The following is a 21,627-nucleotide window of genomic DNA, read 5'->3' as shown; positions in this document are numbered from 1 at the left end:
GCACACGCACAGATTTCCCCACACACACCCACAAAGAGTAAGAAAATGTCATGTGTGCAGGCTGGATGTGCCAATGGCAGTTTCCCTACAGTGTTCCACATGGCCAAGACGTGTGTGCGTTACTCACCATGTTTTTTGGTTATTCGTTGCATTGCTATATACTGACAATGAGCTATCCAAGAAAGAAATTAGGAAAACAGTTCCATTTACAAATAAAAAAAAATAAAATTTTCAGGAATAACTTTTACCAAGCCAGTGAAACACCTGTACACTGAGAACTATAAACCATTGATAACAGAAATTGAAGAAGATGCAAACAAATGGAAAAATGTTCAGTGTTCATGGATGGGGAAGAATTGTCTTCTTATGTGATGTAAAGATAGTGTTGAAAATGTCAAAAAGGTCAGCAGATACCCCTGTGAGTAACAGTGATAAGAAAAAAAGGAAGGATTTGTATTTATCTATAGCACAGAAAGTCATGCTGTTGGAGAAACTGGACAATGATGTAAGTGTGAAACAGAAGAGTACCCTGTTGGAATGACCACCATACATGAGCTGAAGAAACAGAAGGATAAACCGTTGAAGATCTGTGCTGAAAGTAATGAACAGACGTTAATGAAAAATAGAAAAGCACCGCATAAAGCAAAAAATGAAGATCCTAATTGTGTATTGAAAGAGTGGATTCATCAGCATTGCAGTGAACACCTGCCACTTAATGGAATACTGCTTATGAAACAAGCAAAGATCTATCACGTTGAACTGAAAATTGAAAGGAACTGTGAACATTCAACAGCCTGGTTGCAGAAATGTAAGAAAAGACACAGCATTAAATTTTAAAAGATGTGTGGTGATAAAACATCTGCTAATCACGAAGCAGTGAAGAAATTTATTGGCATGCTTGCCAAGCTCAAAGCTGTTGAAAATCTCATGCCAGAATGAGTCTGTATTGCTGATGAAACATCACTGTTTTGGTGTTATTGCCCTGGAAAGACACCAACTTCAGCTGATAATACAGGAATTAAGGATGTCAAGGAGAGAACAACTGTGTTAGGATGTGCTAAAGCAGCAGGCACACGAAGTGTAAACCTGGTTGTGATAGGCAAAAGCTTGTGCTCTTATTGTTTTCAAGGAGTGACTTTCTTACCATTCCGTTATTCTAACAAAATGTGTGGATCACCAGCAAAATCTTTTCTGGTTGATTTTACAAATATTTTATACCAGTGGCTCATGCTCACTTCTAGGAAGCTGGACTGGACAACAACTGCAAGATTTTGTTATTCCTTGTCAACTGCTCTGTTCATTCTCCAGCTGAAATTCTCATCAAAAATAATTTCTGTGTCATGTACTTTCCCCTAAATGTGACTTTATTAATTCAGCATTTGACTAGGGTATATTAGTCTGTTCTCATGCTGCTAATAAAGACATACCTGAGACTAGGTAATTTATAAAGGAAAAGGGCTTAACTCACAGTTCCACATTGCTGGGGAGGCCTCAGGAAACTTACAATCATGGTGGAACGCAAAGAAGAAGCAGGCACCTTCTTCACAGAGTGGCAGGATGGAGTGAGTGCAAGCAGGGGAAATGCCAGATGCTGATAAAACCATCAGGTCTCATGAGACTCACTCATTATCACAAGAACAGCATGGGAGAAATTGCCCCCATGATTCAATTATTTCCACCTGGTCCTGCCCTTCACATGTGGGGGTTGTGGGGATTATAATCCAGGATGAAATTTGGGTGGGGACACAGCCAAACCATATCATTCTGCGCCTTCCGCCTCCCAGATCTTACGTCCTCACATTTCAAAACACAATCATGACCTTGCAACAGTCCCCCAAAGTCTTAACTCATTCCAGCATTAACCCAAAAGTCCAAGTCCAAAGTTTCATCTGAGACAAGGCAAGTCCCTTCTGCCTATGCATCTGTAAAATCAAAAGCAACTTAATTACTTCCTAGATATAATGGTGGTACAGGCATTGAGCAAATACACCCATTCCAAATGGGAGAAATTGGCCAAAACAAAGGGGCTACAGGCCCCAGGCAAGTTGAAAGTCCAACAGAGCAGTCATTAAACCTTAAAGTTCCAAAATGATCTCCTTTGACTCCATGTCTCACATGCAGGTCATGCTGATGCAAGAGGTGGGCTCCCAGATTCCTTGGGCAGCTCTGCCACTGTGGCTTCACAGGGTACACCCGACTGGCTGCTTTCATGGGCCGGCATTGAGTGTCTGCAGCTTTTCCAGGCACACAGTGCAAGCTGTTGGTGGATCTACCATTCTTGGGTCTGGAGGATGGTGGCCCTCTTCTCACAGCTTCACTAGGCTGTGCCCCAGTGGGGCACTCTGTGTGGGGGCTCCAACTCCCTAGCAGAGGTTCTTCATAAGGGCTCTGCCCCTTCAGCAGACTTCTGCCTAGACATCCAGACATTGTCATACATCCTCTGAAATCTAGGCAGAGGTTTCCATACCTCAGTTCTTGACTTCTTTTCACCCACGGGCTCGGTACCATGTGGAAGCACCAAGGCTTGGGGCTTATACCCTCTGAAGCAATGGCCTGAGCTATACCTTGGCCCCTTTTAGCCACAGCTGGAGCAGCAGCAGCTGGGATGCAGGGCAGCATGTCCCAAGGCTGCACAGAGCAGGGGGGCCGTAGGCCTGGCCTGTGAAACCATTTTTTTTCTCTTAGGCCTCTGGGCCTGTGATGGGAGCAGCTTCCATGAAGGTCTCTGACATGCCCTGGAGAAATTTTCCCCATTGTGTTGGTGATTAACATTCGACTTCTTGTTACTTATGCAAATTTCTGCAGCAGGCTTGAATTTCTCCCCAGAAAATGGTTTTTTCTTTTCTATTACATAGTCAGGCTGCAAATTTTCCAAACTTTTATGCTCTGCTTCCTCTTGAATGCATTTCCACTTAGAAATTTCTTCTGCCAGATTCCCTAAGTCATCTCTCTCGAGTTCAAAGTTCCACAGATCTCTCAGGTGGGGGCAAAATGCCACCAGTTTCTTTGCTAAAGCATAGCAAGTGACCATTACTCCAGTTCTCCATATCGGACCACCTCAGCCTCGACTTTATTGTCCATATCAGTGTAAGCATTTTGGTCAAAGACATTCAACAAGTCTGTAGGAAGGTCCAAACTTTCCTGCATCTTCTTGTCTTGTGAGCCCTCCAAGTCTCCAGGTAGGAGTTCCAAACTTTTCCACATTTTCCTGTCTTCTGAGCTCTCCAAACTGTTCCAACCTCTGCCTGTTACCCAGTTCTAATGTCACTTCCACATTTTCGGGTGTCTTTACAGCAGTGCCTCACTCTCTGCAGTACCAATTTACCGTATTTGTCTGTTTTCATGCTGCTAATAAAGGCATAACTGAGACTGGATAATTTATAAAGAAAAAGAGGTTCAATGGACTTACAGTTCCACAGGGCTGGGGAGACCTCACAATCATGGGAAGGTGAAGGAGGAACAAAGGCATGTCTTACATGGCAGCAGGCAAGAGAGCATGTGCAGGGGAACTGCCCTTTATAAAACCATCAGATCTTGTGGGACTTATTCACTGTCATGAGAACAGCATGGGAGAAACCTGTCCCCATGATACCATCACCTCCCACCAGGCCCCTCCTCCAACACTGGGAATTACAATTTGACATGAGATTTGGGTGAGAACACCAAGCCAAACCTTATCAGTATTGGCCTTGGCAATGATCTTTTGGATAAGACACAAAAGCACAGGCAGCAAAAGCAAAAATAAACAAATGAGAGTGCATCAGATTTAAAAGTTTCTGCACAGCAAAAGAAACATCGGCAAAATGAAAAGGCAGCGTACAGAGTGGAAGAAACCATATATCCAATAAGGGATTAATATCCAAAATACATAAGGAACTCATACAACTCGATAGCAAGCAAACAAAATAACCCAGTTTAGAAATGAGCAAAGCACTTGAATAGACATTTTTCTAAAGAAGACATACAGATATCCAATAGGCATATGAAAACGTGCTCAACGTCACTAACCATCAGAAAAATGGAAATCAAAACCGCAATGAGACATCACCTCACACCTGTTAGGATGGCCAGTATGAAAAAGACAAAAGATAAGTCTTGGGGAGAATGTGGAGAAAAGGAAACACTTTTATATATTCAAGGTGGGAATGAACATAATGGAAAACAGTTTGGAGGTTCCTCAAAAATTAAAAATAGAGCTACAACCCAGCAGTCCCATTCTGGGTATATATCCAAAGGAAATGAAATCATTAGCTCAAAGAGATCCCTGCACCTCCATGTCAAAGGCAGCTTTATTCACAGTAGCCAAGATGTAGAAAATACGCAATTGTCCATTTGACAGATGAAGGGATAAAGAAATTGTGGTAGATACATATAGAGTGGAATATTGTTCAGTCTTTACAAAGAAGGCCGTCCTGCCGTTTGAAACAATATGGACGAACCTGGAGGACATTATGCTAAGTAAAATGAGACAGAGAAAGACAAATACTGCGCGATCTCACCTGTGGAGTCTGAAAAAGTCAAACTTCTAGAAAGGAAGAGTACAATGGTGGTTACCAGAGGCTGGTGGGAGGGGTTGGAAAGTGGGAGGTGCTGGTCAAAGGTTAGGAACGTTCAGCTTATAAGATGAATACATTCTGGACACCTCATGTACAGCACGAGAACTGTAGTTAATAATAGTGTATTGTGTACTTGAAATTGGCTAAGAGAGTGCATCTTAAGTGTGTGCATGACAAAAAAAAGGGAGTTAACTATATGAGTTGATGGATATGTTATTAGTTAATTGTGGCAGTCATTTCACAATGTGTGTGCATATCAAAACATCACATTGCGGCCAGGCGTGGTGGCGCATGCCTCTAATTCAAGCACTTTGGGAAGCTGAGACAGAAGCATTGCTTGAGCCCAGGAGTTCGAGACTAGCCTAGGCAATGTAGGGAGATCTTGTCTTTACAAAAAATTTAAAAATTAACCAAGTAGGGTGGCATGTGCCTGTGGTCCCAGCTACTTGAGAGGCTGAGGTGGGAGGACTGCTTGGACCCAGGAGGTCAAGGCTGCAGTGAGCTGTGATTGCACCACTGCCCTCCAGCCTGGGTGACAAAGCAATACCCTGTCATACACACACACACACACACACACACACACACACACACACACATATCACAGTGTACTACCTAAATATACACAAATTCTATTTGTCAAGGACACTTCAATAAATCTGGGGGGGAAAAAGCCAACAGTATGATCTGAAGCAGTATTTTCCAAATTTGTTTTGATTGGACCTATAGATAGTTTTACATAATGACTTCCCCCACACATGTAAATAGATATGCACGTAACTGAAATAAACTGTTTACAAGGGAGTACTCACATTGAAAACCTGTGGCACACTGTGCTTCACTCCAGCCTCGTGCTGGCCCCGGCACCCTGATGTGGCTTCATGGCCGGTCACAGGCTGCAGCCCCCAGTGGAGGAGCTCCGGTGCTGGGATTCAGATATCTCATGAACTCTTAGGCAGCCCTTGGAGTAGGCAAGTTCCTCTTCAGATGTAACAGGGGTTCCGGCAGGTTGTGGCATTGCCGGTGGCATTGCCAGCAGGGACTCAGGTGAGCCCGATGTTCAGCTCGGTAGGTGCAGTGCTGTTACTGAGGGAGCTTGCATTTGAATTAGGGAGATGTCCATGCTGGGATGTTGAAGGACTGCGTGTGGTGGGGAGGTCTTGTTGGAGCAGTTATCCCTGGGCAGCTCAGCCTCTGCTAGAGTGGCAGAAAACTTTCACACGGGGCTGCCTCTTCCTGCCTGTGTATGGGGCAGGCAGTGTGCCTTGATCATGGGGCCCTGCAGCAGAGCCTGGAGCCTTGTGATAGAGTGTCCAGTCAGGCACCTCTGGTCCTTTGAGGTGAAACCTGTTTGGCAATCAGGGCTGGTTGGATGGGCAGGTGTGTATCACCCAATTCTGAATCTTTCTAGTTGAGCAACCTAAGGTGTAAAGTAAGGCGGATGTGACTATTAGAGGTAAAGCCGGGCGCATGGTAGGAGCTGCGTAAGTGCCGGTTGCTCTTACGGCAGGGTTGAAGCTGACTTCCTGTTGGAAGTAGCACTTGAGCCTAAGACTGTGTCTGGATGGTGAGTCCTTAAAGTAAGACACTGTATGTTTTCTTGTTTTAATGATGGAAAACGGCAAATACAGGCCGAGATGGGACCAGGCAGAGACTACAGGGAGACAAGTTTAGCCGGTAAGGCGGGAATCAGGCAGGCGGTGTCTCCAGACAACCTGGAATGAAATAAAGTCATGGCCAGATCTTAGGTTAGATTGAAGAAAAGGCAACACAACAGACATTAAAAAGTACAATTCAGTGAGCTTTGTTTTGCATTTAGAGTTTGAGAATGATAGAGAGGTGTAACTACTCTGAAGCGTTTGTTCCCGGGATGGTTCTCTTGGTTGGAAGAGGTGGGTGCCACAGAGGAGCACTTTCTGCTTGATACATGGGGAGTTTAGGGGTCACATGGGACATGTGGTCGGAGCTGGGGAGTCCACTGGACGAATTGGTTCTGGCTTTGTCCACAGGCATGCCGCCATGCCGTTCCAGCCCTCAGAATGGGAGTGAGCAGTTTTGGGAGGAGGAGCATAGAGAGAGCAGAGGGCAGGTGTCCACCCTGGGGGCCACCTACAGGGCTGCACCTTGACCTGGCCCCAGCAGCCCCTTGTGAATTGATTCACAAGCAAAGCCTCTTTTTTAGTGGGGCGCTTTGGATACTGAGTAGCAAACCCTTTCCATGGGGTTCTAGGGTGAACCAGTCTTCACTGACTTGTACTTGATAAACAGACTTTTTCTAAGTTTATTTTTTATGCATTTAAGAACGCGCAAAACATCCTCACATACTCAGAGGGGGCGGGATGAATTCTTCCCTCCTCCTTCGTCAGCACACAGTTTACTAAAGGCCTCTTAGGTGCCTGTCACAGCCTGAGCTGGCTGCTTGCATATTCCCATGAGTGGGAGGTGTGAGCTCGTTGCTCATACAGTTGAGAGTCTGGCCAGGAACCCGGGTGCCGGTGGTGATCAATGTGTTGCATGTGTGGGGGGAGTGCAGGCTGCCACGGGAAAGGACCAGGGAAAGTCCCAGCGACCTTTGTGGATCAGTCAACTCCGTGGGAGGAAGTGGTGTTTCGACCAAGGCCTGAGAATGTGCAGGCCAAGTGATAGGAAGTAGGCCACATCTCTCTTCGTTGTCATCTGCAAACTACGCATTTTATTGTAAGCTATGTGCCCTTCCAGCTTCAGTCCTGGTCCTGTGAAGAATAATCCATCTTGCCAGTCTCAGGCTTGGGCAGTTTGTAGGACCCTGAGGCTCCTGGGCTCAGATTCTTCTGAATTGTCTTTCTTGACCCTTTCCCTCTTTGCCTTGACATTTATCTCTTAACAAGAAAGACACACAAAACCGTGATTGGTTAGGGAACCGCCCGTCACTACTCTGCAAACATGTAGCCACCACCCATGGCTGTGTTTCCAGAAAGCCACGAAGCTTCTGTTTGTGTAGTTGGTTTCCTAGACTCCTAGCAAGATGATATCTCGATCTGGTCTCTCTGAAAGCGAATCCACGATGTCATCATGCACCCATCTACCCAGGTGACAGGTTTTCAGTCTGGCAGTCATTCTTCAGGGCCCTCCACGCCCAGGCCTCCCTCCCACAGACTCAGTTGGTACCGAGGCTCAAGTGCCATGTGACCTTCCTTCATTTCCCTGTGCTCTTTGCAGACTTCATCACAGCCTTACAATGTTCCCTGTGATCTTCAGAACCCAAGAAGCATTTCTTGAAAGCTTTACCTGTGAGAACTCGAAGCCAGTTATTTTCTAAAGCAAATCAATATTACCTCCTGTAGTCTTTAAGCCTTTTTTTGCTTCTTTTTGAATTATATTTTTTCTTCATAGATCTAAAAAGTTACTTATACAGCCACTTGAAACTCATTTTATTGCTTCCTCTGATAATATGACTGAGAAATATGAGCTTTTTCATAGAGAAGTATATCCCTTGGCCCACGCCAAGGCAGATATAAAATCAGTCGCATGCAGAGAAAATGAGTGGAATAGCACACCACGATTTCCTGCAGGAAATACAGTCCTCTCCCCCACTTATTTTATTCCACACCTGGAGCAAAACTAGGCTAAGATGACCCATTTTCTTCTAGCCAGGGGAAGAAGGCGTTGCAGTGATATGTCTGCAGGGAGAGTGTCTTTTAGAGCACATGCTGCTCTTAAGTGCAGGATGCTGTGCTGCTGGATGTGCATGTAGAGGCAAATGTTTGATTCGGCTTTGAATCTCCACCACTTTGGAATTGGTACCCATTCAAATGCATACATAAGTGTCTTGTGAAACAAACAAAAAAAAAACCGCGAGGGGATTTGGGAAACAAGTTTTCAGGAGCATTGATTATGACCATCAGCTCCTTAGGACGTGAAATGGATGCTTCAAAATGTGTCCCAGAGCTGTCTGTGGCCATCGTGTGCATGTGCACCTGACTCTATAAATGCTCTAGAGTGTATCTCGGCCATTGTGGGCTTGTGTCCTCAACTGACTGTGAATGTTCTAGAGTGTACCTCGGCCATTGTGTGCATGTGTTCCCGACTCACTGTGAATGTTCTAGAGTGTATCTTGGCCATTGTGTGCGTGTGTTCCGGTCTCACTGTGAATGCTCTAGAGTGTACCTCGGCCATTGTGTGCGTGTGTTCCCGACTCACTGTGAGTGTTCTAGAGTGTACCTCGGCCATTGTGTGCATGTGTTCCGAACTCACTGTGAATGCTCTAGAGTGTACCTCGGCCATTGTGTGCGTGTGTTCCCGACTCACTGTGAGTGTTCTAGAGTGTACCTCGGCCATTGTGTGCGTGTGTTCCAGACTCACTGTGAATGCTCTAGAGTGTACCTCGGCCATTTTGTGCGTGTGTTCCCGACTCACTGTGAGTGTTCTAGAGTGTACCTCGGCCATTGTGTGCGTGTGTTCCCGACTCACTGTGAATGCTCTAGAGTGTACCTCGGCCATTGTGTGCGTGTGTTCCCGACTCACTGTGAGTGTTCTAGAGTGTACCTCGGCCATTGTGTGCGTGTGTTCCCGACTCACTGTGAGTGTTCTAGAGTGTACCTCGGCCATTGTGTGCGTGTGTTCCCGACTCACTGTGAGTGTTCTAGAGTGTACCTCGGCCATTGTGTGCGTGTGTTCCCGACTCACTGTGAGTGTTCTAGAGTGTACCTCGGCCATTGTGTGCGTGTGTTCCGGACTCACTGTGAATGCTCTAGAGTGTACCTCGGCCATTGTGTGCGTGTGTTCCCGACTCACTGTGAGTGTTCTAGAGTGTACGTCGGCCATTGTGTGCATGTGTTCCTGACTCACTGTGAGTGTTCTAGAGTGTACCATGGTCATCGTGTGCATGTGCACCTGACTATAAATGCTGTAAAATGTACCATGGCCATTGTGTGCATGTGTCCTTAACTGACTGTGAATGCTCTAGAGTGTACCTCGGCCATTGCGTACGTGTGTTCCCGACTCACCGTGAATGCTCTAGTGTGCACCTCGGCCATTGTGTGCGTGTGTTCCGGACTCACCGTGAATGTTCTAGAGTGTACCTCGGCCATTGTGTGCGTGTGTTCCGGACTCACTGTGAATGTTCTAGAGTGTACCTCGGCCATTGTGTGCTTGTGTTCCTGAGTCACTGTGAATGCTCTAGAGTGTACCATGGTAATCGCGTGTGTGCACCTGACTATAAATGCTTTAAAATGTACACATGCACAAATAGCCATTGTGTGCATGTGTCCTCAACTCACTGTGAATGCTCTAGAGTGTACCATGGTCATTGTGTGTGTGTGCACCTGACTCTATAAATGCTCTAGAATGTACCACGGCCATCATGCACATGTGCACCTGACTCACTTATTTCAGCCATTGTGAGTGTATGTACCTGACTCTATAAATGCTCTAGAATGTACTACAGCCATTGTGTGCACGTGCACTTGACTCTATAAATGCTGTAAAATGTACCATGGCCATTGTGTGCGTGTGTCCCCGACTCACTGTGAATGCTCTAGTGTATACCTCGGCCATTGTGTGCATGTGTTCCTGACTCTATAAATGCTCTAGAATGTTCTATGACCATTGTGTGTGTGCATACCTGCCTCATTGTAAATGCTCTATGGCAGTGGTCCCCAATATTTTCAGCAACAGGGACCAGTTTCGTGGAAGACAATTTTTCCATGGACCAGGGTGGCTAGTTTTGCGATGAAACTTCCACCTCAGATCATCAGGCATTAGATTCTCATAAGGAGTGTGCAGCCTAGATCCCTCTCATGCACAGTTCACAACAGGGTTCCCGCTCCTATGAGAATCTAATGCCTCCTGATTTGACAGGAGACAGAGCTCAGGCTGTAATGTCACTTGCCCACTCCTCACCTCCTGCTGTGCGGCCTAGTTCCTAACAGGATATGGATTGGTACCAGTCCACAGTCTGGGGGTTGGGAACTCCTGCCCTAAGAATGTACTGGGGCCATCATGTGCATGGACTCACTGTGAATGCTCTAGAGTGTACCAGAGCCATGCCGGGTGTGCACCTGACTCACTGTGAAAGCTCTAGAGCATACCAGGGCCGTGTTGGGTGTGCACCTGAGTCACTGTGAATGCTCTAGAGTATACCAGGGTTGTGTTGGGTGTGCACCTGAGTCACTGTGAATGCTCTAGAATATACCAGGGTCATGTTGAGTGTGCACCTGACTCACTGTGAATGCTCTAGAGTATACCAGAGCCATGCTTGGTGTGCACCTGACTCACTGTGAATGCTCTAGAGCATACCAGGGCCGTGTTGGGTGTGCACCTGACTCACTGTGAAAGCTCTAGAGCATATCAGGGCTGTATTGGGTGTGCACCTGACTCACTGTGAAAGCTCTAGAGCATATCAGGGCCGTGTTGAGTGTGCACCTGACTCACTCACTGTGAAAGCTCTAGAACGTATCAGGGCCATGTTGGGTGTGCACCTGAGTCACTGTGAATGCTCTAGATTATACCAGGGTCGTGTTGAGTGTGCACCTGACTCACTGTGAATGCTCTAGAGTATACCAGGGTCGTGTTGAGTGTGCACCTGACTCACTGTGAATGCTCTAGAGTATACCAGGGCCATGCTGGGTGTGCACCTGACTCACTGTGAAAGCTCTAGAGTGTATCAGGGCCGTGTTGGGTGTCCACCTGACTCACTGTGAATGCTCTAGAGTATACCAGGGCCATGCTGGGTGTGCACCTGAGTCACTGTGAATGCTCTAGAGTATACCAGGGCCGTGTTGGGTGTGCACCTGAGTCACTGTGAATGCTCTAGAGTATACCAGGGTCGTGTTGAGTGTGCACCTGACTCACTGTGAATGCTCTAGAGTATACCAGGGCCCTGCTGGGTGTGCACCTGACTCACTGTGAATGCTCTAGAGCGTATCGGGGCCGTGTTGGGTGTGCACCTGACTCACTGTGAAAGCTCTAGAGCGTATCAGGGCCATGTTGGGTGTGCACCTGACTCACTGTGAAAGCTCTAGAGTGTATCAGGGCCGTGTTGGGTGTGCACCTGGGTCACTGTGAACGCTCTAGAGTGTATCAGGGTCGTGTTGAGTGTGCACCTGACTCACTGTGAAAGCTCTAGAGCGTATCAGGGCCGTGTTGGGTGTCCACCTGACTCACTGTGAATGCTCTAGAGTGTATCAGGGCCATGGTGGGTGTGCACCTGACTCACTGTGAAAGCTCTAGAGTGTATCAGGGCCGTGTTGGGTGTCCACCTGACTCACTGTGAAAGCTCTAGAGTATACCAGGGTCGTGTTGAGTGTGCACCTGACTCACTGTGAATGCTCTAGAGTATACCAGGGCCCTGCTGGGTGTGCACCTGACTCACTGTGAATGCTCTAGAGCGTATCGGGGCCGTGTTGGGTGTGCACCTGACTCACTGTGAATGCTCTAGAGCGTATCAGGGCCATGTTGGGTGTGCACCTGACTCACTGTGAAAGCTCTAGAGTGTATCAGGGCCGTGTTGGGTGTGCACCTGACTCACTGTGAAAGCTCTAGAGTGTATCAGGGCCGTGTTGGGTGTGCACCTGGGTCACTGTGAACGCTCTAGAGCATATCAGGGTCGTGTTGAGTGTGCACCTGACTCACTGTGAAAGCTCTAGAGCGTATCAGGGCCGTGTTGGGTGTCCACCTGACTCACTGTGAAAGCTCTAGAGTGTATCGGGGCCGTGTTGGGTGTGCACCTGACTCACTGTGAATGCTCTAGAGTGTATCGGGGCCATGCTGGGTGTGCACCTGACTCACTGTGAATGCTCTAGAGTGTACCAGGGCTGTGTTGGGTGTGCACCTGGCTCAGTGTGAACACTCTAGAGTGTACCAGGGCCATGCTGGGTGTGCCCCGGACTCACGTGTATTTAGCATAGCTTATGAGGGGTTGGGGAGTGAAACCTCCTTTACTGCCTGGGAGTGGCAATGGGGGTTTCTCAGCTAAGGTGACACTCACACTCTGTGGGGTGTATCAGGGTAGCCAGTGGGGCCTCTGAAGATTCTCGGGTGGGGCCCAGGAAGTGGTATATCAGACTGGTACCATGCGGGGTCTTGCTGGTTGCAGCCTTTTTGTGATGCGTGGTTTCTGAATATCTGCCATCAGATTTGACCCGTGGTACTGGTGTCTGCCTCTCTCTGTGGAGCCCATTGCTTCACAGAGGGCGGCTTCTCCACTAATCTGCAGTGGGATGTGACGAACATCTCTTTCTACAGTGCCTTTACGTGAGTTTAACTCAATTTTTTTAAAAAATTTGGATTAAAATCTTAGCTATGTGAAATATTTAGGGTTATTCTTTTTAATGTTTTTATTTGTTAATTGACAGATTGCAATTGTATGGGGTTACTTTCTTGAGTTTTACGAAGTACCTATGTTTATTGAAGTTAAACATCAAACTTAAAACATTTAGATGAAAACCTTTCAAAACATATTTTGATGTTTACTACTTTTTAGCTAGAGCTTACTGCGGGTAAACCCCAGTGATTCTTGGCGGTGACTAAGAACAGCTCCTTACACAAACTGTAATACAGTGTTGCTCTTATGGCTTTGTGAGTACATGCTAGTGTTTCAAATTCCATCCAAAACGAACTGCCCTAGGTTATGGGGTCTTATTAATTCCTGTATTTTTGCTTCCTTCTCCCCAATCTATTTTGCTCTGAATTAATCATCTTTTATAGCTTGCTGAATCACCTGCATTTCTGTTTAGAGCCACCCCTTTTCTCTCCTCATCCACAATTATGTTCTCTTGTGGATTTAGAAACCAGATGGTGACACAGGTTGGGACTGTGGGCAGTTGAAAGGGCACACTTGTCTTCCGAGGAAGGGCTTGAAGATGCTGCTCTTTGAAACACAGTGTTCGAAGCTTCAAAGTTGTTCAGAGGCCTTTAAAACATTTCCTCATTCTAGAGTTGTTGACTATTTTCCAAATCCAAATGTACTAACGGTTATAACTAAATTTATTTTAAAATAGTGTTATTTGTTAATATGACATCTTCACTCTGACCTGGAATTCTTCACTCTGACTTAGAATTCATCAACAGGTATTAAGTGTGTGCCCCAAAGGTTGCCAGTCATTGTGGGGAACATAGAAGAGTTTTAATAGATGGGGTGTATGATTCAGAAACCTTTAATCTGTTTAGAGACACTGTAGTCAAATATTTATGGCACCAAAGGAGGTAGCCAAGATTAGTGTTTGTGCATTATTAAAATTGGTCTGTGGGAAAGTGTGGATAACTTATAGGCTCTTAGCTTTGATTCATAATTAGGTAGTCTTTGACATCAGATTGGCTAGTTCTCATCCTGTGATGTGTGAGTTAGTTGCGAAGGGAATCTCTGCCTTTCTGGAGCTTCTACTAAAACCCCAAGTGTCTTGGTGCTGACGTACACTGCGTCTTGCTGGTACCATGCTGAGAAGTCACTGTCACTGCATTGTTGGCATAGCCCACACGGATACTCCTTGCTCCAGCCTTTTGCTTGCTTGTTTTTTGGTGGGAAGCACACGTGAGTTATAAGTGAGATCTGCTGGGGAGCTTATGAATCCATGGAAATTTACTGCCCGTCATATAGAAAATGTCCCGCATGGGGTAAGTGCATTACTCCACCAGCACGAGATCTGTGGGCTGCCCGTTGCATCCTTCTCTCCCTGCATTGCATTTGTTCCTTGGAATTTACTATCAAGCTGTCCGAACTCTACCTATGTTTACCTGCAGTAACTGGGCTACGGAGAGAAGTGTGATCATTTTGCTCCAAACAAGTATCTTCACCATTAGAGTCAGCCATTGTCTTAACTGGACAGGAGCAGTGGGTTTTGGAGCAGGTTTTTCAGCATCCTAGCTTTAGAGTTTTGGTCTTGTTTACTACATATTATGTGTTTATTATGAATAGATAAGATACAATAAACTCTTGGTCTAATATAGACGTGATGTGCCTTTGATCACAGTACTATGAGCTTTCTGTGTGTTCCTTAAACTATAAATGAGAAAGAGATTGTGGTTTTGAATGATGTTAATGTTGTGATTACAAGTAATAATAGCTCCATAGACAGTCTTGAGATGACGGTGTAAGGGAGGTATGCTTGAGGGTGCCCCCAATCAATCCATATTGTGTTCTGTTTAAAAAGAAATAGTGTAGTACCTTATTGATGTCTTTAATTACTCACAAGTTAAAGCACATGGAATGAAATTCCTTTCTTTATAAATAAGCATTTAAGAATTTCACCAGAGAAAACAGACATCCATATTTGCGACCATGTTGAAAAATTCTTGGTCCCTTTATGGCTTTATCGCAGAGGTGAGAGCATTTTGGTCTTTGTTGAGTAACTGAATAGCATTGTATCATTTAGGATGGCTTTGGCTGCAGATGATGGGAAACGGTGGCTCCAATTGGCTCAAACATTAGGAAATGGCTTAACATCACCCCTGAGCCTGGTGTGGCCGGTGGCAGCTCCTCTGCCCTGCTCTAAGCTCTGTCCTCCCATCTCGTCCAGTACTTTGCCATTATCCTTGAGTGCCTAAGGAGATTGCTACAAAGGATGTGGGCATCCTGTGCAAATCATCTTCTCCTCTCTGCCTCCATAAGACTCTCCACCCTCCAGCCCCCACAGGCCTCCCTCACGTCTCATTGGCCACTGCTGGTCAGTGTCCATTCCTTAGTTACTGATGAAGCCCACGTTGGTGAGTGTCTTAGCTTGGGCTGCCATAAAAAGCGCCACACGCTGGGCGGCGTCAACATGAAAATGTGTTCCTGGGGCGGGAAGTCCAGGATCAAGGTGTTGGCTGATTCATTTCCTGGTGAGGGCTCTCTTACTGATGTGTAGACAGCTGCCTTCTCACTGTGTCCTCACGTGATGGAGAGAGACAGGAAGCCTGCCCTCCAGGTCTCTTCTTATAAAGGCATGAATCCCATTGTGAGGTCCCCACCCTCATGACCTCCTCTAACCCTAATCACCTCCCAAAGGCTCCATTTCAAGTACAGACAGTCCCTGACTTATGGCCTCTCAACTTTACAATGGCATAGAAGCACTATGCATTCGTAGAAATTGCATTTCGAGTCCCATACAACCATTCTACCTTTCACTTTCAGTGTGATATCCAATACGTTACATGAGATATTCAGCACTTTCTTATAAAGTACGTCTTGTGTTAGATGATTTTCCCAGCTGTAGGCTGATGTGAGTGTTGTGAGCCTGTTTAAGGTAGGTTAGGCTGGCTCTGACGATGAGTGGGTTAGGTGCATCCACTGCATTTTCAGCTCACGGTATTTTAAACTTACGACGGATGTGAGGACATAGCCCCTGTGTACATTGACGAACCTCTGCAGCATCACACCAGGTGGGGGGCTAGGACTTCCACACATGAATCTGGGGAGGGGGGCACAATTCAGTCCATAACAGTGAGACAACAACAGTGTTGTCAGGCATTGCCGGGTGACAGTGTAAAAAATACTCTAGTGACTACAGGCCGGAAAAGATTTCCTGCGTCATGAAGAACATGTATCACAGCTCTTACCTACCAGCCTGGGTATCTCAAATGTTTATGTTAACATTTGGTACTTCTCTTTCTCTTAGTGTCGTGTGGGAGCCAATGGGAGATGGGAAGAAAATCATTTCCTTGGCTGATAACCATATCCTGCTGTGGGATTTACAGGAAAGCTCGAGCCAGGCTGTGGTAAGTAAAAGCAACAACACAGCGTTTGTTTCTGTATTTTTAAACCAAACCCCGCATGTTCTCACTCATAGGTGGGAATTGAACAATGAGATCACTTGGACACAGGGTGGGGAACATCACACACCAGGGCCTGTCGTGGGGTTGGGGGAGCGGGAGGGATAGCATTAGGAGACATACCTAATGTAAATGACTAGTTAATGGGTGCAGCACACCAACACGGCACATGTATACATATGTAACAAATCTGCACATTGTGCACATGTACCCTAGAACTTAAAGTGTAATGAAAAAAATAAAAAAATTAATAAATGGGACCTTTGGGCTAAATTCAGAATGTAATTCTTGATTCACAACAGTTTAGAATTTTGACCTTAGTTAATGAACAGACTGAATCATCAATCAAAGAACTGACTGATGGGGTCTTTCAGGTGAAAGCCGTTCAGATGTCACTCAGGGCTTGTGAGATATGACATGGAACCCAGTGGCTTGCAAAACATCTGCGTTTTGCTGCACTTTGAGCAAAGGAGGGAGTGGGATGCCCAGGAGTATTTTCTACCGTTTCAAGCGTGCTGTCCTTTTGACGAATGGATTCTTAAAATATATTTGGGTAAAATCATAGTTTTAAGTAGGAGCAATTATAAAATTTTAATTTCATAGTGGTGCCTAGCTCTTGTAATGTATTTGCATGAGTTATGAAAATAACTTTTAGCGCTTTCTTTGGGTTGAGTTTTGCTTTTAAATATGCATCGTTTGAATACTTTGTCTCTCACAGAGTAAATATTAATATATATTTTTCATATTTGATTTCTTAAAATTTTCTCCTTTAAAATGTGGTTTTTACATGCATTCATAATTTCATTGCGTTTGTTTATGTTAAAGTAACCACTTTAGAAAAGAGGAAGTGGAAGAACTTTGAACTGATAGCACTTACAATGTCATTTATACCTTGGGGGCTGCGTTGCCGGCACACAGTCAAAGCGATTGCGCAAGCATCCATTGGATAGATTTCTCCAGTGATGGCCTCATCTTATATTTATTTGTTCCTACCATGTTTTTTTAGCTCTTCTCCCTCATGGTGCCTTAGAATATTAATAAGTCCTTTCCTCAGCCCTCTAGGCTGACGAGGTGGTATGAATAATGATGCATCATTATTAATAAGTGGCACAGAAGTAAGACTTAAAAATATTAAGTTTCCTGTTAAAGCTTTAAACCTCTGAATGGACAAAAGGGAGTCTCACAGCCTTCACCGCGGAATTAAGTGTTGGGCGTTCACCCAGAGCATCAATGGTGTTTAAGGAAGAGAATTATTATTTTCATGACAAACTTTAAATATAAGGCATATCTTCATATCTTGGAGTAGAATGCAAGTTTCACACAAACTTTTAAGATAAAACAGGAAACGAATGACATTTCATGCCTGAGATTGACCCCCGTGGACCACACCTGCAGGCTGGGGATATATGTCCATAATCTCCCACCTTCCGGGAGATTTGGCAGAGTCCTGGTCATGGTGGAAGGCGATGCCTTCCTTGTCCCTTCCCTCCCTGTGTTTTTGCGGGGCATTCCTACATAACTATAAACCTCCAGGAAGAAGGAGGAAAATACTTTCCTATTAAAATGCCAGGCTCACGGTAGGCTTTGGGTGAGACACTTGGGCAGAGGGCCCAGCTCCCGGTATAGACACTTGGGCAGAGGGCTCCATTCCTGGTATAGACACTTGGGCAGAGGGCCCAGCTCCTGGTGTGGGAAGAGCTGGGTGGAGCCTTCTGCACACCTACTGTGCTCGCTGTCTCAGGGAGGATGCCGGGGAGAAAGGAGACCCCACACGTTAGGATGCGGCAGGTGGAGACCTATTCTGTAATCAAACTGTGAACACATCTTCAGAGCCTCGGTCATCTCAAATGGATTTCATGGTAGGGTGATTAATCTGTAACTTATTTTCTGCAGAGATCAATTTAGTTTTCTCTCCCCCTTTTTTATCCACTGTCAGCAGTTCTGTCAATATTACTTTGTGGCCCTCCACTGTGGTATTTAATACAGAAACCTCCTATCGATTCAAGCCATCTTCACACCCAGCTTCTCAATGTCTTCTTATTGTTTGAGGATATTGCCTTCTGTGGTGAATCTAATCTCATGCTCACTGCATCATTACCTTTTGCAATTAAATTGGAAATTCCGTGCCATTTATAATCATTAGCAGAACTCAGGGGAGGCCTGGAGTGGAAGGTTCCGTGGGGGCCACAGACCCCGATGAGGGTAGAGGGATGGCCGTCCTGTGTCTGTGTGTGCTCATTCATCTTCGCCTTTCCCAGCTTTCACTCGCCACGAAATAAATAGCTTCTGTCAAGGAGCCGACAGTGGCGGAGCGAGAAGGAAGCTTGCGTGAGGATTCGCTCCACCTCTGCCTTCTGTTCACGCAGGAGAGCAGGAGCTCCTTGAAGGTGGCCATCTAGAGAGAGCCATCTGCTTGGCGTGACACACACAGTACCTCTTTGAAGGAAGGGAGTATGCTTCAGGAACACAGTGTTTCCATTGGAAAGTTTCTAATCAGAGGTTTAAAATGTACCACAGGAGGATCAGATAAACAAACATAAGCTGGGGGGCACTCCTAGCGACAGCAGCATGGTCCTTGCAGCCAACGCCATGTCCAGCGTGCCTGTAATGCAAATAGCGTTTGTGTTTTGGGGACCAAGAGAGCAGTGGGCAGAAGCCGAGCTTAATCTCAGAGCTCGTGGGGAGGGGCTGGGAACTTTGTGGGCGGTCGGTGGGTTCTATGGCTCCTTGCCGGCGCACCTTGGAAAGCCTGTTCTGTTTTCATCTTTCTTGTTCTCCAAACTGGAAGAGACGTGGTACAGAGGAAAGAGGCTTGTTTCGTTAGTGTTAAAGTGGAGAACTTCATGCGTGGAACCTGACTGCTGGTTCCAGCAGCGACCCTCCTGTTCACTGCGGCGTGCCCATGGGTGGATTCATTTGCCCTTTTATTTCTGATATTTTATTAAAATTTTATTTACTTATTTTTAAACTTTCGTTTTAGGTTCAGAGGTGCATGTGCAGGTTTGCGACGTAGGTAAATTGCATGTCACAGGGGTTTGGTGTACAGATGATTTCATGAGCCAGGTAATAAGCACAGTACCGATGGGGAGTTTACAGTCCTGTCTCCTCCCATCCTCCACCGAAACTATGCATGTTCTCACTTAGTAGTGGGAGCTAGGCCAGGGGCAGTGGCTCACGCCTGTAATCCCAGCACTTTGGGAGGTTGAGGCGGGTGGATCACCTTACATCAGGAGTTTGAGGCCAGCCTGGCCAACGTGGTGAAACCCCGTCTCTACTAAAAATAAAAATAAAAATAAATTAGCCAGGCGTGGTGGCACGTGCCTGTAATCTCAGCTACTCAGGAGGCTAGGGCAGGGAGACTTGCTTGAACCTGGGAGGTGGAGGTTGCAGTGAGCCAAGATCACGCCACTGCACTCCAGCCTGGCGACAGAGCGAGACTCCGTCTCAAAAAAAAAAAAAAAAAAAAAGAATTGGGAGGTAAACAGTGAGAAGACCTGGACATGGAGAATGGGACAGCAGCACCGGGACCTCCTCGACTCGCCTGCGGATGTTGCTTTCTTGTCTAGAAACCAAGCGTGCTCATCCCTGCATGTGGCTGTGATTGTCGTGGGGGTGTTCAGGGACAGCTCCTTGTCCCAATGTCTGTCCATTGTCCTCTGTGGCAACACAGACTAGGACAGGCCTCACTCCCCAGCCTCTCTGCAGCCTGGTGTGGCCGTGGGACTGAGTTCTGGAAAAACAGATGTGGGTGGGAGATGCGTTCACCCTGAATGAGGAGTTGTTCCCTTCGTGTTTTAAGTCTCTGCTCCTGAAACGTGGAGGTGGCTGGCAATGCTCTTTCCTATTCTGTCACTTTTCTTTTCCTCTTTTTAGTAGGGTCTTTTTCAGAGCAAAAGTTTATCTCTTTTTTTTTTTCTTTTCTTTTAGAACAGTTTTAAGTTCACGGCAAAATTGAGTGGATGATACAGAGATTTCCCACAGCCTCCCTCACTCTCAGCATATCCCCTGCTGGCGTGGGACCTTTGTTATCACTGATTAACCCATACGGGCACATCACCGTCACCCAGAGCCCCTCGTTGACATTAGGGCTCCCTCTTGGTGCTGGATGTTCTGTGGGTTTGGACAAATGTGTCCTGACACCTGTCCTCTACCGTGGTGTCACACAGAATTGTTTCACGGCCCTAAAAATACTCTGTGCCCCAACGATGATTCTTTCCTCATGCTCTCTCTCCAAGCCCCTGGCAAGCCCGATCTTTTCACCATTGCCATTGTTTTGCTTTTTCCAGGATGTCACAGAGTTGGATCCATACAGTATGGATGGTTTTTAGATTGGTTTCTGTCCCTTAGTAATAAGCAGTCAAGGTTTCTCCAGGTCTTTTCATGGCTTGAAAGCACATTTCTTTTTATCACTGAGTAATGTTCCATTGTCTGGAAGGTTCTCCATGTCGATGAAGTTCAGTTTGTTGGTCTTTCCTTTTATGCATTGTCCCTTGTCCCAGGGCTGAGAGCTGAGATGACTTGGATGCTGAAGATCGTCTCCTGCTTTCTCCTCAGGGGGCTGATCGCTGTGCGTTTGACAGTGACGTCAGGGTCCACTTTGGTTAAGATGCACAAGGTGCCTGGGCCTCCTTCCACGCACCCTCGCCATGCGGGGGACACGGAGTCCGAGCTTCCCTGTTGTAGGGGGCAGCGAGGACATGGTTTTTTCTGGGCTGCTTGTCTGGAGTACGTGGTTTCTGTCTAGAGGTTTTGTGTCCTACTTGGCTGCCCCTTTTTGAAAATGTGGCTTTCAGTGGGCTCTTCTGGGGCCTTATTTGGTGGTGTTTCCTGGCTTCCAGCTTCTTCAGCTCCAGGTCTGGGGTGAATGAGGCAGAAGGAGACCCCAGGGAGCCCCACTGCGTGTCTCCTTATGTGCCGCGTGGGCCTGCCCTCTCTCTCCAACTTTCAAATCACCCTCTGTTGTATGTGCAGTGTCCAGGCTTTCGTTGTGCTTAGTGAGAGAAACATGGAACGGGTGTACACCCTGCCTTCCCACCAGCAGGCGTCCCGGAAAAGATGGTGCTGGTCAGCCACCTCCACTATTGTTCCCGCTTCTGGCGACCTTGATAATATGAGAGCTCTTCCCTTGTCCTATTAGAGGGAAGAATCTGAACATTCTGAAGGAGCGTGCACGGACCCTGTGTGTGCCATCATTCCCAGGCTGGAGGCCTTGTGGGGAAGAGGAACACTGGAGTCGGGGAACAGGGATGGCCCCAGACACCTGCACCTGCCACGGGCCTCACTCACAGAAGGAGGACCTGCCACGAGCCTCACTCAAGGAAGAAGGACTCGCCACGGGCCTCACTCA

The 21,627-nt window shown here is 46.5% G+C and overlaps 1 protein-coding gene across 6 annotated transcripts in view, besides 2 other annotated features; it reads left to right on the top strand.

The window, feature by feature from the left end:
• Window positions 1-21,627, top strand: part of EIPR1 (EARP complex and GARP complex interacting protein 1) — a 188,849-nt gene that overhangs the window by 147,444 nt on the left and 19,778 nt on the right. For all 6 annotated transcript variants that reach the window (NM_001330531.3, NM_003310.5, NM_001330530.3 and 3 more), the window contains one exon: window positions 16,127-16,226. In NM_001330531.3, the coding sequence (NP_001317460.1) occupies window positions 16,143-16,226 (84 nt within the window). In that variant the 5' untranslated portion in view covers window positions 16,127-16,142. The remainder of the gene's footprint in view (window positions 1-16,126; window positions 16,227-21,627) is intronic.
• Window positions 350-550: a silencer, noted in NCBI's record as "peak3584 fragment used in MPRA reporter construct". NCBI's record gives its function as "represses an SCP1 promoter by STARR-seq MPRAs in K562 erythroleukemia cells {active_cell/tissue: K562}" and the evidence as "EXISTENCE:reporter gene assay evidence [ECO:0000049][PMID:32103011]".
• Window positions 7,008-7,207: an enhancer, noted in NCBI's record as "active region_15224". NCBI's record gives its function as "activates an Ori minimal core promoter by ATAC-STARR-seq in GM12878 lymphoblastoid cells {active_cell/tissue: GM12878}" and the evidence as "EXISTENCE:reporter gene assay evidence [ECO:0000049][PMID:35858748]".

Source organism: Homo sapiens, chromosome 2 (genome assembly GCF_000001405.40).
Source record: "Homo sapiens chromosome 2, GRCh38.p14 Primary Assembly".
Lineage (NCBI taxonomy): Eukaryota > Metazoa > Chordata > Mammalia > Primates > Hominidae > Homo > Homo sapiens.
Note: the sequence above shows the minus strand (reverse complement) of the source record. Positions and strands in the feature narration are given on the sequence as shown.